This window comes from Homo sapiens, chromosome 10, assembly GCF_000001405.40.
Source record: "Homo sapiens chromosome 10, GRCh38.p14 Primary Assembly".
NCBI lineage: Eukaryota > Metazoa > Chordata > Mammalia > Primates > Hominidae > Homo > Homo sapiens.
Window position 1 is genome coordinate 1,699,124 of NC_000010.11, and position 19,155 is coordinate 1,718,278.

General features: G+C 47.6%; 1 protein-coding gene across 1 annotated transcript in view, besides 1 other annotated feature; it reads right to left on the reverse strand.

Moving 5' to 3' along the window:
- Positions 1 to 19,155, reverse strand: part of ADARB2 (adenosine deaminase RNA specific B2 (inactive)) — a 560,213-nt gene that overhangs the window by 521,811 nt on the left and 19,247 nt on the right. The window lies entirely within an intron of this gene.
- Positions 16,882 to 17,161: an enhancer, noted in NCBI's record as "active region_2904". NCBI's record gives its function as "activates an Ori minimal core promoter by ATAC-STARR-seq in GM12878 lymphoblastoid cells {active_cell/tissue: GM12878}" and the evidence as "EXISTENCE:reporter gene assay evidence [ECO:0000049][PMID:35858748]".

The window sequence follows — 19,155 nt, forward strand, 5'->3', positions numbered from 1 at the left end:
CAAATTAAAGATGCATCCACTGCCAGCTGCAGCATACTGCAATCCCACTCCACCTGGAGACCAGGCGCTCACCAATACACGCAATCCCACTCTACCAGGAGACCAGGCGCTCGCCAATACACTCAATCCCACTCCACCGGGAGACCGGGCACTCGCCAATACACGCAATCCCACTCCACCGGGAGACCAGGTGCTCACCAGTACACGCAATCCCACTCCACCGGGAGACCAGGCGCTCGCCAATACACGCAATCCCACTCCACCGGGAGACCAGGCGCTCGCCAATACACTCAATCCCACTCCACCGGGAGACCGGGCACTCGCCAATACACGCAATCCCACTCCACCGGGAGACCAGGTGCTCACCAGTACACGCAATCCCACTCCACCGGGAGACCAGGCGCTCGCCAATACACGCAATCCCACTCCACCGGGAGACCAGGCGCTCGCCAATACACTCAATCCCACTCCACCGGGAGACCAGGCGCTCGCCAATACACTCAATCCCACTCCACCGGGAGACCAGGCGCTAGTCAATACACTCAATCCCACTCCACCGGGAGACCAGGCGCTAGTCAATACACGCAAACCCACTTCCACCAGGGAGACCGGGGCACTCGCCAATACACACAATCCCACTCCACCGGGGAGACCAGGCGCTCGTCAATACACTCAATCCCACTCCACCGGGGAGACCAGGCACTCACCAATACACGCAATCCCACTCCACCGGGAGACCAGGCGCTAGTCAATACACGCAATCCCACTCCACCGGGAGACCAGACGCTAGTCAATACACGCAATCCCACTCCACCAGGAGACCGGGCACTCGCCAATACACGCAATCCCACTCCACCGGGAGACCAGGCGCTAGTCAATACACGCAATCCCACTCCACCAGGAGACCGGGCACTCGCCAACACACACAATCCCACTCCACCGGGAGACCAGGCGCTCGTCAATACACTCAATCCCACTCCACCGGGAGACCAGGCGCTCGCCAATACACTCAATCCCACTCCACCGGGAGACCAGGCACTCGCCAACACACACAATCCCACTCCACCAGGAGACCAGGCGCTCGCCAATACACGCAATCCCACTCCACCAGGAGACCAGGCGCTCGCCAATACACTCAATCCCACTCCACCGGGAGACCAGGCGCTAGTCAATACACGCAATCCCACTCTACCAGGAGACCGGGCACTCGCCAACACACACAATCCCACTCCACCGGGAGACCAGGCGCTCGCCAATACACTCAATCCCACTCCACCGGGAGACCAGGCGCTAGTCAATACACGCAATCCCACTCCACCAGGAGACCGGGCACTCGCCAACACACACAATCCCACTCCACCGGGAGACCAGGCGCTCGTCAATACACTCAATCCCACTCCACCGGGAGACCAGGCGCTCGCCAATACACTCAATCCCACTCCACCGGGAGACCAGGCACTCGCCAACACACACAATCCCACTCCACCGGGAGACCAGACGCTAGTCAATACACGCAATCCCACTCCACCGGGAGACCGGGCGCTCGCCAATACATGCAATCCCACTCCACCGGGAGACCAGGCGCTAGTCAATACACGCAATCCCACTCCACCAGGAGACCGGGCACTCGCCAACACACACAATCCCACTCCACCGGGAGACCAGGCGCTCGTCAATACACTCAATCCCACTCCACCGGGAGACCAGGCGCTCGCCAATACACTCAATCCCACTCCACCGGGAGACCAGGCACTCGCCAACACACACAATCCCACTCCACCAGGAGACCAGGCGCTCGCCAATACACGCAATCCCACTCCACCGGGAGACCAGGCGCTCGCCAATACACTCAATCCCACTCCACCGGGAGACCAGGCACTCGCCAACACACACAATCCCACTCCACCAGGAGACCAGGCGCTCGCCAATACACTCAATCCCACTCCACCGGGAGACCAGGCGCTAGTCAATACACGCAATCCCACTCTACCAGGAGACCGGGCACTCGCCAATACACACAATCCCACTCCACCGGGAGACCAGGCGCTCGTCAATACACTCAATCCCACTCCACCGGGAGACCAGGCACTCACCAATACACGCAATCCCACTCCACCGGGAGACCAGGCGCTAGTCAATACACGCAATCCCACTCCACCGGGAGACCAGACGCTAGTCAATACACGCAATCCCACTCCACCAGGAGACCGGGCACTCGCCAATACACGCAATCCCACTCCACCGGGAGACCAGGCGCTAGTCAATACACGCAATCCCACTCCACCAGGAGACCAGGCGCTCGCCAATACACGCAATCCCACTCCACCGGGAGACCAGGCGCTCGCCAATACACTCAATCCCACTCCACCGGGAGACCAGGCATTCTCGCCAACACACACAATCCCACTCCACCAGGAGACCAGGCGCTCGCCAATACACTCAATCCCACTCCACCAGGAGACCAGGCGCTAGTCAATACACGCAATCCCACTCTACCAGGAGACCGGGCACTCGCCAACACACACAATCCCACTCCACCGGGAGACCAGGCGCTCGTCAATACACTCAATCCCACTCCACCGGGAGACCAGGCACTCGCCAATACACGCAATCCCACTCCACCGGGAGACCAGGCGCTAGTCAATACACGCAATCCCACTCCACCGGGAGACCGGGCACTCGCCAATACACGCAATCCCACTCCACAGGGAGACCAGGCGCTCACCAGTACACGCAATCCCACTCCACCGGGAGACCAGGCGCTCGCCAATACACTCAATCCCACTCCACCGGGAGACCAGGCGCTCGTCAATACATTCCATGGTATAGAGGCGTGTGTATGCTTGGCTTGAGGGAAATGAAGAAAGACTGTGAAATTTAAAGAAAGACAAAGAGAAAGAAGTGGGAGAGAGAGTCATGCTCAGAGTTCACCTGCTGATGTAGAAGCCCTGATTGGCCATTCCCTGAAGATGAGGTGGAGGCTCCTTTCTGTATGTGACCAGGACAGAGAATGCTGCATCCCACAGGGTGAATCTACCAATGACTGATAATGGAATTGTTCATCCACCTTCAAATGCATAAGGCAAATATACAGACTTAAGTATGAGAACAACTCATCATTGTAGCACTCTGTATAAAAGCACAATTTTTGAATTAAACTCAATTTTGACAGTAGTGGATAACCATAACCCATTCATTAGATGGAATTACCATGCAGTCACCATGTTTTAGAGACGACCCTCAAACCCCTCTTGAATACAAAGGCTGAGGAGGGAAGATGAAGGAAGAGGGTGAGGGTCTGGGGCCCTTGACTCTTCCTCTCTCTTGAGGTCTCTCTGTCCCAGCACCTGGGCAGGTAGGGAATCCCGAAAATCTGGGGATTTTCCTCCATGTCCATCACTCTCTTCCCTTTTCTCTCCACCTGTCTTGATTAAAATCCAGATTGTCCAAGCGATGGCTGCTAATCCACAAAAGTCACCCCTCTATTCTCAGACTCACTGAACTCCAGTGACCCTGCTTTGCTTGAGCACTGTAAGACCTTCTGCCCCCATTCCCCAGGGTACATGCTCCTGCCGGCCTCTCTGGGCCCCACATTTGAGAATGAATGCCTCACTGGCAGTGCTCTCGCTGATTTTCTCCCACAAGTTCAGACAAGATCTCAGACTGGCCCTCCTTTAGAGGAATGTTTCACCACATGCGATGATGAGTATGGGTTATTTTTAAAAGCAGATTGCAATGCAAGATTCAAGGTATGAACCACTTGCTACAGTTATAAGCAGTAAAGAATTAGCTACTGTTATCTTCAGATGGTAGGGACTCATTTTCATTGTCTTACTAACACTTTTCAGTATTTTCAGAAGTTTCTGCAATGAATCTTCAGTAATTGTATTATCAGAAAAAAGACACAAACACAATGAATACAGAATGATTTTGAGTGTGGGATAGCGAGTTGCATGGAGAAGCAGACCCGTTCACTGATTCACTGCACATGTAAGCACGTGCTACACCAGGGGCTCATCTGAGTTCTCCAGATACAGCAATTAAAAGGAAAAAAGGATGAGGGCTTCAGTCCTAGTGGAACTGAGCATTTTCATGGGTGGAGGGCATGGGCATAAATAGCAAGGGGGTGGGGGCTGCAGGTTGAAGGGGCATCCAGGGAACACCTGATGAGGAGGGTGACATTTTAGCGTACTTCTAAGGGAATAGAGGATGGGGCCTGTGGGGACCTGGAGGAGTGGAGCTCCACCCCGAGGCACAGCAGGTGCAAAGGCTTGGAGCCTGGATGCTGGTGAGCAGTGAGGAGGCTGAGGGGTGGGGGGAGACTTTTTTAAGACAAGAGAAATAGTAGTGTGTGTTTGAGTAGGCAGGGATGATCCAGCAGAGAGGGGAGAGTTGATGGTGCAGGAGACGATGCAAGAACTGGAAAGTGAGGTATGTGGAGTCACATCTCCCTTAAAAATAGAATGGGGAGATTTTGCATCAAATAGGATAAAACAGATTATTAGCTGTTTAGCATAATAATCTTAAAATGATTAATTGATGATTTTGCCTGAATCCTCAGATGAATTTTTCATCTTGCAGCCTTGTGTGCTTTTTAGGTAAGAGAACCCAATGGTCATTGTATCTGGGAGCGTTTCTTTGAAAGCAAGGTGTTTTTTGAAAGTAGCATTTGGCCATATTAAGTCCACCAAATCTTTTGACCACTGTTCACTATACACTGGCTTTCAACTGGATTCACCTTTTGTTAAATGCGGTCAACCACGGGAATGAGTGACCTTGCGACTTTCACAGGGGACTCACTCCTAAGAGGTGGTGTTCAGCCAGGGGGAAGACCTAGCAAGCCGTGATTGATTTTAGTTTGTTTATTGGATGCTACATTAGCTATCTATTGCTTTGTGACAAGTTACCTCAAGAGTTAGTATCTTAAAAGAACAAACACTATATCTAACTTCCTGTGGGTCAGGAATCCAGGAGCAGCCTCACTCTTGCTGTAAGACAGCGGTCCTGTCCCCAACCTTTCTGGCACCAGGGATGGCTGGTTTTGTGGAAGACAATTTTTCCATGGACTGGGGGCTGCAGGGATGGTTTCAGGATGATTCAAGCACATTATATTTATTGTGCACTTTATTTCTATTAATATTACATTGTAATATATAATGAAATAATTATATAACTCAGCATAATGTAGAATCAGTGGGAGTCCTGAGCTTGTTTTCCTGCAACTCGATGGCCCCACCTGGGGATGATGGGAGACAGTGACAGATCATCAGGCATTAGATTTTCATAAGGAGTCTGCAACCTGGATCCCTTACAAGCACAGTTAGCAATAGGATCCCCACTCCTATAGGAATCTAATGCCACTGTGACCTGACAGAAGGCAGAGCTCAGACATAATGTGAGTGGCAGAGAGTGGCTGTAAATATAGATGAAGCCTTGCTCACTAACCTCCTGCTGTGCAGCCCAGCTCCTAACAGGTCCTGGACCAGTACCAGTCCTTGGCCCGGGGGCTGGAGACGTCTGAGTTAAAGCATCTAACTCTGGGGTTTTGTGAGGGGTACATATAAAGTGGTTTGGAATCATGTGGGATTATTGATATTATTACAAAGAATAAATCTGATAGGGTCTCAGAGAGCCTGGAAGCACAGAATGATAAAAAAGCTAGTGTGGGTCAAGATGTTAAAGGGGCAGGGAGTATTGAGAACGGTGAGCTTGCATATGCCAGCCTGAGCCTCCACTCTCTCACTGAGGAGCCCAGCAGTTTATCATTTGAGCAGGAAAAGGGTGCAGGGGAGACCATGAGGGCGTGGGCACCACCCAGCCATGAGTCTCAGAGGCAATAACCCCATGAGCACAGACCCACAGGCAAAGCCCTGGGAGAAGTCCTTTCAAAGCTTTTCAATATGTGTGAAAAAAATTGCAGCTGAAATCCCATAATTTCATTAAAAAAATAAAGAAACAAATGTAGGTTGATTTTTAAAATTATTTAATTAAAGTGGCATTTCTTCACATTTTCCAAACCTCTGTAGCCTCAGAATGGCTTAGACCCTAAAGTCCTCTTGATCTAATGACGAAACCACTTTGACACTTTGAGGACACAGGTGGATGGGCCAAGGCGGCTGTGCTTGGCAGGGTTGCAGGGGCTGCATTCTACATGGTGCCTCTGCCCACTCTATGCCGGTTTTGTGGCTGGGGAGGGTAGTGTGGTCTGGAAGAGTGGCCGGTATGATGGACAAGGCAGCTGACGTGGATGGCACCAGGGGTCCTGGGGGACCGGAGAGGACGGACTGGGTCACTTGATCACAGTGTCACCGGAGCCCCAGGGCAGCAGCAGGAGGAGAGGCGGCAGATGGGGTGAGAAGGGCTGCAAGGCCAGGTAGGTTCTCAGGATGTTAGGCAGGCAGCTGAGCGGGGGTTAATGAACAGAATGCAATGGAGATTGTTTACAGACAGTTTTGTAGAGAACAAGCTTAATCTGAAAATTTCAGACATAACTGTCCTGAAATGCAGGGTGCGGCAATTAAGGTGAAGCAATCTATTTATTCCCATCATTCACCATCAGATGATTTTACTGTCTCCACCTAAAGCTGTTCTTACAAAGAAGCGTGTGAGGCCTCTCAATATTGTGCTGCTCTGAGGGTTCCAGGGATAGCTGCCGTCCGCCTCTGTGGATAATGACTCACAGGGACAATGAGAGGTATACTTGGGAAGTTATTTGAATTTGGAGATCAAATTTTGCTTTGATTGATTTTTTTTTTCTCTTAAGTATTGCTTCCCTAGCTATTCTAGGATCAGAAAGTGACAAAACACTTCACGGTGAATTACAGTGGTTTAATGCCTTATTTTAAATTTATGTTTACCATTTTATCTTCTTGTTTTTTGTTCTTTAGCTGAGGTTCTAGTACACATGAATGCTTTACCAGCCATTAGCTGTGATTAGTGGAGCTGCAGTGAATGACGGTAATGTGAGCAGCATCAAATGTTGACTTGCTTTTATCAGAGAGCAGAGAATGTACAGAATCAGCTGTGTGCTCAAATTCACTTTGCTAAAACGCTAGTGTTTTCGCTCCCTACCCTGGAAGCATAGGTGATGCTTTTTCTCTCCTGAGTAGAGCTTGACTAGGGTCAAGGCCATACTTATCGACATGGCTGACCATGTTTCTTGCCTTTCAGAAGCAGAACATTCCATGCATGAAAAATGGTGAGAAATGGGTACAAAGAGAACTGGGGAATAGGAACAGCTTGGGAGTAGAAGAGGTGAGCACCCCTAGGCTTCAAAAATCTCCTCTCCTTTGCTGTTTTTCCTGTGGGCTGGCCTTTGTCCCAGAAGCCAGAAGGCCAGCCACAGGTATTTACATATTCAGGCAACACATTTTGTGCTGCAGTGATTTCTTCTTCTCAAGGCAACAAATCCAAATGGTGTTCCAGGAGAGTATTTTCGGTACCTTTTGATTCCTCCAAGTATTTTTATTTCAAAGGAAAACAGTCCTACTTTTCAACAAACAGAGGGCCTGGCGCTGGACTAGAATCTGCAGGATGATGTTGCTTTCTGCAGTAATTGAGAATCAGAAGCCTGGTTTCTCAGGTATTTTTATCTTCTGCCTGTGTGTGAAGTCAAAAATCTTACTCCATTAAATAAACACACATTGACGTGCTAATCAGAAAGACAACACTGGCCTTATAACAGGAGGAGACTGATGGGGAACAAAAGAATCACACCCTCCACTGAGGACAACCTCTCCAGGGACACCAGAGTGGTGAACGGCAGGAAGTGGGGTTTTTGTTGGGCAGGAAGTAGGGTTTCATTGGGCAGGAAGTGGGATTTTCTTTGGGCAAAGGGTTTCCCCGGGGCCTCCTGACATGGCTTCATGCGTTCCTCTCTTCAGGTACCCGGTCCAGAGTGAAGAGGGAGATACACCCCACAGAAAAAGTTTAGGATTTTTATTTCATCAAATGGATATCAAAATTATTTCGATCACAACAAACATTGTTTCCAGAAAATATGCCCTTTTCCCCTGGATTCCTTTACAGGTGCTTCCTTCACGCGGTGTCCCGGATTCCTGCACCGGCGCACAGCTCAGCACCGCGGCCCCGATCTGCCCAGGACCTGCCCATAGGCGCCTCCTTTCACTGATGCCACCTCAGATCCACCTCGTCAGAGGAGGCAGAGGGAAGACTCCGAAGGAGGAATAGAGGGGTGTGTCCCACGGGGCTTCAAATCCTCATGCACCCCGTTTTCCAGAATTTTCTGTGAACGTTTGTCTGCCCCAGTGAGAGCTCATCTTAATCTTGATTTGTAGCGTCTTTGGCCAGTGGTCTTCTCACAAGCAGGCATTTTCTCCACATTGTCTTTTGAATCCGGTTTCCTAATGTAGCCTTTGAGACGTCCTGATGCGGAAAATTAATCTTGTTACTTGATGAAGATGGTGTTTGAAAATCGATCCCGTGGCCTGGTCTGTTAGGTGGAGAGTGGTTCCTGTGCAGAACTGTGCCTCACCTGAGGACGGGCAGACTCGGGCTGTCTGGAGAGTGTGGGTTAACCACTATACAGGGATGCCTTCCTGGGCTTGGTTCGGCACAGTTAGACTTCTCCAAATGTATACATTTCATCTCCTTTCTTTATAAACTAGACATTTGGCTCAGAAGACTGTGAAGATGAAGCTTGGTTAAAGCTGTTTCCTGCAGGCAGCACAGAATTCAGACCTTTGTCTGATTGGTCCTCTGCTTGTTGGGGGACCAGCCCGGTCCACACACAGCAGAGTCAGCACTGGTCAGTGGGAGAGGTTGCAGGGGGCTCTAAAAAGAGTTTCTGGCCTCCATTTTTTCTCATCATGAAAAATACTGTATTCAGAGTTGTTAACATTCTACAATGTGTTAAAGCCTAAGACCCAGGTCCCTTCAGGAAAATGACACGGTAGCTTGTGCTCACATGAGGGTGGAAATGACAGGTATGCAATGCTGGAAGGCAGAGGCAAGCCGCAGCTCTGTCTGGGGCTCTGCTCCGTGCGGGCTGCCTTCTGTCCCTTGGGGTTCCAGTTTCTCCATAGCAGAGATTCTAGTTTAACTCGTATCTTTTGATGCCTGTTCAAAGTGGAAGATTATAGGAACTCAGGGGAGTTTTCTATGTTGCAGGAGAGGTGAGAAGATCAAAGGGGATGAAGAAAAGGGACCCTGGGCTCCCAACGCCAGGGTGCCTACCTGCAGTTTAACCAGGGCAGACCCCACACCAAGCCTTGGTCTGAGAAGCCCAATCTGCTCCTCAAAGGAAAGAATGCATTTACTTGGGAAAATCTGCCCTGACTAAATATGTATTAATTTTCAATGGAAAGGGAAGTATGAATATGTTTGCCTCCTTCCTGGTCAGAATCTTTCAGCCAGGGTCTGTGCTGGCAGACAACAAGACACAAGGCCCTTTAGTCAAGACGCCAATCAAGAATTTGCAGGAAAAGCTACAAGAAGAAGAATGTTCAAGGAGAGGCATGGGCTTTGGGGGCAGCCGGGGTCCTGGGAGACATTCAGGTTCAAGTCCTAGTTTTGCTAAATTCAATATCATTTTAGGGCAAGATTTTCCTTTTCTGTAAAATGGGAATAGTAGCATCTCCCTCCTGGGGTCACAGTGAGGATTTGACGAGGATGTACACACAGAAGCACTTGGCACACACCACGTCACCATCACATATGAAATCCTTTTTCCTTCTTTCTACAGTCACTGCAGAATCCATCCTCCAGCCTGCAAGCCACACCTGTGAACATGCAACCCTTGCTGTATGTGAGCAGAGGGCTGAGGGCATGGGTGGAAATCCATAGGAGAGGACTGTGGTGGTGGACGCAAGACACACCTGAGGTAAGGAAAGGAGGAGGCCACGCAGGGAACATTTTAAATATGGAGGGAGGAGGGGAGGTCACGTCGGGTCCTGAGAAACCTTCTCAGCCTCCATGCTGACCCCATTGATCTAAACTAAGAATGACTGTTTCATAGGTATTTCCTGCTCTAGTGCTGAATGAGTCTCTCTATGGAAGTCGCTAAGTGGAGACCTACTTATGTTGCCTTTTATAATAAAGCTAGTACAGTGTTTGTGCTAAGTCTCTTAAGGGGATGGTTTAGACTTTCTGCAAATTGCTACAATGTACACAGCTAATTAATAACACAAGTTCCCTCTGATGAGGGGGAAAGTATTTCTTGCCTAAAGAGGGATGTTGTTTAGTCTTGTAAAACTGTAGTTATGTCTTCTCTACGTCCTGCCAAGCATGTCTTCATAAAAATTAGAAAGAATCCATCTGTTTTCTTGCCACAGACTCTAATTTCTTTGTGAATCTTATTTGGATTTGAATTCCAATGAGCAAGCAGCAAGGTTTGTGCAATGTTTGTTAGCTGCTGACTATGATGTGGAAGCCGGGCTTTCTTTTCCATTTTTCCTTTTCATATTGTCTTTACTTTGGAGAGACTTTTGATCTGAAGGAAGCTGAATTATGTGTCATTAGAAAGAGTGACCCTAAGCACAGGTGGTGACTTGAGCTTCCAAGGGGGGAACATTCTGAAAGTATCTTCAAAGAGTGCTAGTGGGAGAGTTCCAATGATGCTTCCCATGCTTTCTCTCTGTATAGATGACCCCATGCCTAGCTCTTCTTACAGGAAGCCCTTGGCACGTCAACACACCCCTCTCCTTCCCTTACCTCAACCAGACAACTACCTTAGCAGCTCAGCTGTGTTATTGAGACATTTCAGCATGAAATTTGTTTTTCCTCACTGAACTTTAAGCAGAATTTCAAGTGCCAAGTCTCTAAAGCCAAGTGGGGCTATTAAGAGATAATTACTAATTATGCTAATTTGAGAAGTTGCTGCTATTTCCTTCCTGGTCATTTTATGTGCAGCTCTCCTGAGAGCACAGTCCCCTCGCAGGGCTAATAACCTTCTCTGCAAAGTGCTCAGTCGAGGACGGTTTGTCCTAAACTTCCACGCCTCAAAACCGGGAAGGTTCACAGTTGAGCGGAAAGGGTGGCTTTAGGGGAGTCTATGTCCTCATTGTTAATGATTTATACTAGTTATTACAGCTTCTCACAGGCCAGCAGTAGCTATTCCTTTATACTCAGCCCAGAAGAGTATATTTAATTTCTAACCTGGCTGTGGTTTCCCCCTCATCATCTCTGAGTCTTAATAATGGATCCCAAGCATTGGAACTGTCCTCAGGGCCCTGCAGCACTAAATCAGAGGCTGGGGCCTTGTGTGACATTGATAATTACCATCCTTTCTCCAAAAAAGTTACTATTTAGGAGAAATATAATGGATAAGCAAAAGCAATTGCCGAAACTCCCTGGGTTTGAGTTGATCCTGCCACTGGGACACATGCACCCAGAAGATAAGCTGGAGGGATAAGGATGAGATGCCTGGGAATCCAGCCTGCACTTGGGTGCTGGGGGCACCTTCCCCTCCTTCCCACTGTCCTTGCCACTTATTCACGGCACTCACAGGGCAGGGGATAGATGAGGCTGGCTGGTAAATCTGGTGTGCTGATCAGTTTATCTGGGTTCACACCACACTACCATCAGCGTGGACTGCAGAGAGGCACGAGGAATGCCGTTGGGCACCTGACTGTGAGCTCCCGCAGACTCTCAGGCTCTTGCAGCCTCTCAGCTTTCACACCATGCTCCTACCTTCAGCTTCGTCTTTACTGGCCAGAAAGACCACCCTGGGGCTTCACCTTCACTCCTTGTCTCATTTCTCAGCTTGTTCAGGCCAGTGTGAGGAGGAGGACAGCTTTGATACCTCCACAGATGCTTCCCAGGCCTGTCCGGTGGTCCTGCAGGGTCAAATGTAACCAACCTAGAGGATCTAATTTTTGGCCCAACCCCCTGTGCTCTGCATTTCCATGTTTGAAAGTTAGTTCTTGCAAACTCTCAGGGCACCATCAGCCAGTGACGTGTGTTACTCTGAGGCCTGGCCCACCCCGAGCTTGCCAGGCCCCAAAATAGGCTCACAATGGCCAGGGACACGGGTACCTAACCTCAGCATCATCTGGGATGCCAGGCAGCCCCATCTGGAAGCTCAGGGCTGGATCTCAGGTGTTAGTCCTTCCTGTTTGGCCAGTGGGGAGCTGACTTACACTTAAAACATGAGAAGCTGAGAACAAACTCAAGGTCTCCTATCTGTGAGAACAAACTCAAGGTCTCCTGTCTGTGAGAACGAACTCAAGGTCTCCTATCTGGAGGGGAACCCGCTGGACACCCGGTGCCATGCTGAGGTCACAGCTCTGAAGGACGCACCTGGGAAACTCCTACCCCTGGCGGAGACCAGCATGGATCCTAGGAACACCACCATAGCTGATGGGAGCACTGAGAATGTTGATAATTGGCACTGATTTTGTTCTTCTGCTCTTTGATATAGAACATAGTCTCATAGAGGATTCCTTACTAAGGTGTTTTCCTCCACTTGACAAAGAAGAAAACGTGAGAATAACAAGAGAGCTGGAGACCTTTAGAGCTGATTTCCAGCTGTGTGATCTGAGGCAATTCCTCATTTCTCAGGAACACAGTTGTGTCTTGTATGATAGCTTCCAACAAATAGGAGTTACAGGCATTGCCAAAGCTCTCGAGGCTAAAGATTTATTTCTCTTTCCCATGAAAATAAGTAATGAAAGAGTTTCCCTCCTGCCCAGGCTCTTATAGATTTACATGCACAGCTTCCTCCTTTATAAGGACTAGGATAAGAAGAGGCTCTGACATTTCCAGGCTATTCCAGGTTCTAGTAGAATTCTCATAGCTGCCTAGAATTTCATACAACTCTGAACCATGCTATCAAGCCCCCCAAAGCATCCTGATAAGAAATTAAAACCTAGACAAATTCTCTGGGTAGCTTATTCATTTAATGTTAGATGGATGTTGACTTTGGATTTTCCAGCCTTCTCCAAATGCTCATAATTTTAGTTACTCAAAATACACCCAGTAAAAATACATTTACAAATTATAAATTTGTAAGATGTATTAAGAAAATACAACAGTTGATAATGTTCGAAGCTGTATTTAAAACAGATATTCTCAAATTCGTGCAGGAAACTTCCTCCAGGACAAAGACCTCAGTGACAATGACTATTTTCTTTTTATGACTCAATATTTGCTTATCTCCTGACACACAGTAATTGCTCAAAACACGTTTTATACAACCTAGCCTAGCAGAAATGCAACAGTTTATTATGTAAAAATTAATATTTTTTGAAAGATTTCACACAGCTCTAGCAGGCAAAAATTACCTGGTTTCATGGCCTCAGTTTTATACAAAGGTAAGAAGTTATGAGGTGTATTGCAGAATATACTGCTTTTTTTTTTCTTTGCGTGCCTTCTGCATGAGGAGAGGCTGTGTGGAAGCACAGGGGGCAGGCACACTGTGTGTTCTCAAAGCTGGACTGGCTGTGGTCTGTGGGAAGCAACCCGGGAGGATTGGGAAAGCCCCCCTTATCCTACCCAGAAAGCTCTTCCAGTTACTGAAACCACCATTACTTTTTTTTTTTTTGAAACGGAGTCTCCCTCTGTCCCCCAGGGAAGGAGGGCACTGGGCGGGATCTCGGTTCACTGCAAGCTCTGCCTCCCGGGTTCACGCCATTCTCCTGCCTCAGCCTCCCGAGTAGCTGGGACTACAGGCTCCCACCACGACGCCCAACTAATTTTTTTGTATTTTTAGTAGAGACAGGGTTTCACCGTGTTAGTCAGGATGGTCTTAATCTCCTGACCTCATGATCTGCCTGTCTTGGCCTCCCAAAGTGCTGGGATTACAGGCGTGAGCCACAGCACCCGGCCACCACCATTACTTTCACTGCATTGGTCAAAAATGATTTTTCCTACTAACACGAAGCTCCTTAGTCCCGACAGCAGGGTTTTCATCAGTCATGTGTACTTCCCTGTGAAATAGTCTATCAAATCATTTCCACTTGTCAACTAGCTGACATCAGATTTTAATAGTGGCCAGTTTGAGAAAAAAAGCATAGTTGTTAGGAGTCAGGCGATGGAGGCTGCAGACATGGGGCGCCTGGAGGGTACCGCTCACACCTGGGTGCCGGCGAGGGGACCGCACATACCTGGGGAGGTGTGGGTGATGGGAGGCGAAGGCAGAACCTGCAAAGTCCCATTCAGTTGATCTGTTTCAAGAAAGCTTAAGTGGATCCTACAGCGCTTGGGATGAAATTCTCTCTTCCCCGGACCGGCATCCAACCACCTTACCACAGAACTGTCTCGCCATGTGGAGAGTTAGAGAAGAACATTAGAACATTAATCCGGGCAGTGCTGCTCCCAGCATATTACAGTAGGATGGGCAGGGGGCGAAGCTTGGTGAAGGAGGTGGGAAAGGAGCCCAGTGCACTCTTGATAAATACAAACAGAGCTGCCATGGCTCCGTGGGTGTAAATGGCCACAGCAGGACGGTGCTGCAAGACTTTCTCACGTGGGTTCCAGGGGGTTCAAAGAGCATTGGCAAAGCCACAATACTCTTCTATTTGGTCAAAAAGCAATGGGAAGAGAGTGTAGTGAACCTCAGCACCTGGGCTGCAGAAGCCTGTTAAACAAGCGCCATGGCCAGAATTCCTCCTGCTGCAGTACCTGGATACCTCCATGGGTGAAGTGCCATGCTCCGGTCCCGTGGGGAACATGGAAAGATCAAAGTCACCCTTGACACTTTAAAGCAAATTGTCAATGTATTGCATGTCCTCACTTCCTTGAGGACACAGAGAGCGCCAAGTTGGAGGACTCCGGTTACAGACGTACATAAAATGATATCTGCCATACAAGCATGGGCCAGGGTCAGATGCCTGGGGACCCAGTGGTCTACTGAACGTGCTTCCTGGAGCTCTGAGGGCAAAGCTTAGTTCCTTGTTTTGCATAAAGAGACTCTGTGTGTGATTTCACTTAAAAGATATTTCATTGCTTCAAAAAACATTTGATGGGAAAACGTGTCTAGAAAATTTCAGAGGAAGGTACTCTTTGGACTGGATTGGTACTAAAACCAACCAAACAAAAACCAATGGACATTTCAGCAGTTTCTATTTAAAAATTGACGCCAGGATTTGAAATATTACAGTCAGTGTTCCACATGAATTTTGCACTGGGTGGAGGAAGGTTGGACGATTTAGATTGCGTTCGCAGCTGTCATTGTGAAGCACCTCCGTAAACGACGTGTGAGTGTCGCTATCTAGAACCGGCATGAGGACCAAACGGAATTTAGGCACCATGTATTTTTTAAGGCTAATTGCCAATCTCTCTTTCATTTATTAAAAACCAAAGCTAAAATAATTCACTTACTGAGCATGTCTAATCTGCATGAAGCCTTTACTTCATTGGTCAAAGCTGCCTCTAGGCACGCATCTGAACCAGCCAACGCCCATTTAATGCCTTTTTGAATCTGTGCACACTTTCAGAATGTGGAAACAGTCTTCTCTGTATTCAGCCTGAAGTGGTAAAAGCTACGCCTGGGTCCTAACTCCCTTCTTATGTTTCTTATTTAAGTAACTTTACTTGTCTTTCATTCTTTTAGATACATACCCTCCTCCCACAGAAGGCAGGAAGATCAATACCTGCCTTTGCAGACCTGACACATCCGTGCCCATCTGAACCTTAGAAAGTGGCTCCACGAAGCCTGTGAGGGCTTTCATTTACCCAGGGGTGTATTTTATAGCTGATTCTCACTGGACAGCCCATTGGAACCAGCTACTCAAAAGCCAGATGCTTCAGTGAAGCCTTAACAAGGGGCTATTTTTTAAAATTATTATACTTTAAGTTTTAGGGTACATGTGCACAACGTGCAGGTTTGTTACATACGTATACATGTGCCATGTTGGTGTGCTGCACCCATTAACTGGTCATTTAGCATTAGGTATATCTCCTAATGCTATCCCTCCCCCCTCCCCCCACCCCACAACAGTCCCCGGTGTGTGATGTTCCCAACAAGGGGCTTTTATCATCATCATAGCCAATTAGTGATATCTGCTCTCATTCTTTCCTAAGTCAAATAACCTAATTCTTTTCTCTCTGTGGTGTGACATCCTGGTTTGGTTGCTTTTATTAGAAAGCAAGAAGTCTCTAAATCATTCTGTTTCCCTTTTTGCCTTGACTGCCAGGAAGCCCAGCATTTCATTCGATGCTCAGTTGCAATAGTCTTATTATCCCCAGATTTTTCCAGTCTACGTGGAAGTGTATTTCCATTGGCAGAACTTTATCTATGCCTTTTATGGCAATCCTGTGAAATTCTTTTTGGAAATAAGTAGGGTTTGAAAATGAAATAAAAGTCACTAAGTGTGTTTTTAATATTTGTTTTTTACTGTACAAATAGATTTTGATTGAGAAACTTTCAAGGTTGTTTAATATTAAATGTGATTTAAAAAAATTGTAGATGAAAATTGACCCCCAAATCTAGGAAATGTAGGAAAGCTTAAGTATCCTGAAGCAGAAACCCAGCCAGTGGTTCCACATCTGCTTCTCACCAGTGTTTCCTCATCTGGCCTTCTTCTATCATCTTACAAAGGTCCTGAGAAGAAAATCATATGCTAGTTCTTATTTTCAAGCAGTTGAAACTAAACCCATTAATTTTATGCAAAAAAACAAAAACAAAAACAGGTATTAGAAGTACACAGAGCACTCCTGGAGCGACCAGCTGGTGCCGCTGAGGAAGCCAGGAGGCTCCGGAAGGTTCCAGAGCTGCCTTGCAGCACAGTTAGGCAATGGCCTCCAACACCGCTGCTCACCCCTCTGCCTCAGTGGCTGGCGCAAGCTCTGCACACCCTTCCGAACAGCAGCAGGGCTGCAGGGAATGCTGCCTGCAGGTGGTGCTGTGCACACTTCTCGCCCGACTGCTAACTTGGTGCACCCTGTTCATTCCACAACTCACGCCCAGCTGCTGTATGCACACTCCCCTCCCGCCCGCTGAGTCAGTGTGCCCTGCGCGTTCCATCACGACTCATGCACACCTCCTGTGCACACTCCTCTCCCGATTGCTAACTGGGTGCACCGTGCGCGTTCCACAATGACTCATGCACACCTGCTGTGCATACTCCTCGCCCGACTGCTTACTCAGTTCTCCCTGTACATTCCATCACGACTCATGCACACCTGCTGAGCTCCAAAAACACACTGGGCAGCCTCTGTAACTGCCCCAGGCAGAAAGATGCTTTAGACTCTGAAGAGCCAGAAAATGATAAACATTTGTCCAATACAGCTGGAGACAGTCAGGAAGAAGGTGTGAAAGATCTAAAAAGAGCATGATCCTTGGAAAGACAATAGACATTTCAGACAAAGTAAAAATTGTAGATTACTTGGTAGACAGCTCCATTATGAAGCAGCCAGTGAAAGTTCTTGATATTGTGAATTAATCATTTGAGCATTTCCTAATTTTATTGCATTGATTGCTAATATTAAGTGAGGCATTAATGTATCATTCCCTCCAAAACAGTTGTTTAAAGTTGAGATAAGTTTAGAAAACATGGCATGTGTCTCTTTTCCTTGGGGGTTCTCAATGTGCGTTACCTCTAAGAAGTCTTACAGCAAAACAACCTGATACATTTATATAAAGCAAAATACCCCAAACTTTAAAAAATAAATATATATTACATGAAAGTTGATTTGGAAATTTTACTTTACTCCATTACACAGTTGAAGTGGCATGCCATGGATGCTTTGGCAGATTTAGGATTCTGAGATCTCTGAGTATATATCCCTTATGACTATCAAGGAGCTATACTGTAGAGAAGATCTACAAGAAAAAAGTCTACAAAATAACCGTAAAGTTTACATATACCTTGAATAACAATAAACCACATGCAGGCCTTTTGAATTCACTGGGATTGGAAGGGCTAAAGGCACTCCTAAAATTCCTAGAGAGCATTAGAGAGCATGCTTCATTGCACACATTCATGTTATTCTGATCACGTTATTCTGATCACATTATTCTGATCACAAGTTATTCTGATCACATGTTATTCTGATCACATGTTATTCTGATCACGTGTTTCACAACCAAGATGGGAAGCGGCTCCTCTGTCTCTGCTTGGGTTTGTAGTGTGCTTTTTTTTTTTTTTTTTTTTGCTTTTTGTTTTTAAATCTCTGAGCTCTTCCCATTTGCAGACACAGATTGGCCCATGTATTTCTCAAAGCAATTTTGGGGCAGAAACATTGTCCAGGGCCCTGTGTATTTGGTTGCACAGGGATCTGAGTCGGGGAAGCCCTGGGGACCCCAGGGCAGCTGGGCCTGTGTCAGTGACAAGTCCATCCTGACAGAGCCGCAGGTCTGAACCTCCCTCTGCACCCACTCCTCAGACGGGTCCTCACTCTCAGACCCTGCGCGAGAAGGGACTCCAGTCTCTTTCTTTCTTTTCTTTTCTGTTCTTTTCTTTCTTCCTTCCTTTCCTTTCTTTCTTTCTCTCTCTCTTTCCTTTCTTTCCTTCCTTCCTTTCCTTTTTCCTTCCTTCGTTTTTCTTTCCTTCCTTCTTTCTTTCTTCTTTTTTTGAGACAGTCTCGTTCTGTCACCAAGTCTGGAGTGCAATGGCATGATCTCAGCCCACTGCAACCTCCTCCTCCCGGGTTCAGGAGATTCTCCCGCCCCAGACTCCCGAGTAGCTGGGACTACAAGCACACACCACCACGCTGGACTAACTTTTGTATTTTTAGTAGAGATGGGGTTTCGTCATGTAGGCTAGGCTGGTCTTGAACTCTTGACCTCAAGTGATCCACCTGCCTGGGCCTCCCAAAGTGCTGGGATTATAGGTGTGAGCCCCCACACCCAGACACCAGTCTTTCAATATGTATGGCTAAGGGTGGCTTGCAAGCTGATTTTGGGTGGCATATGAAAAACTTTTAAACATGTATTAAATGCCATCTTATATTTTAATGGGAATTAGAACACTATAATGCAGGCACATCAAACTCACAAGCCTATGAATAATATAGTTAGAAAAATGCTAAGGAAGAAAGGAAGGGAGGGAAGGAGGGAGGGAGGAGGAGGAAACCAAGAGGCACAAACACAGCAGCAACAGAAAGTCGCTGTTTCCATCATGCTGAGAAAACCTAACACACATCATAGGAAGGTGATGGCCGGGGCAGAAACTGAAAATATGGAATTCAAATAACTACAACTGGGGGAAACTTATATTTGGTCGTACTTTTTTGATTCTGGAGCTTAGCTCTTCC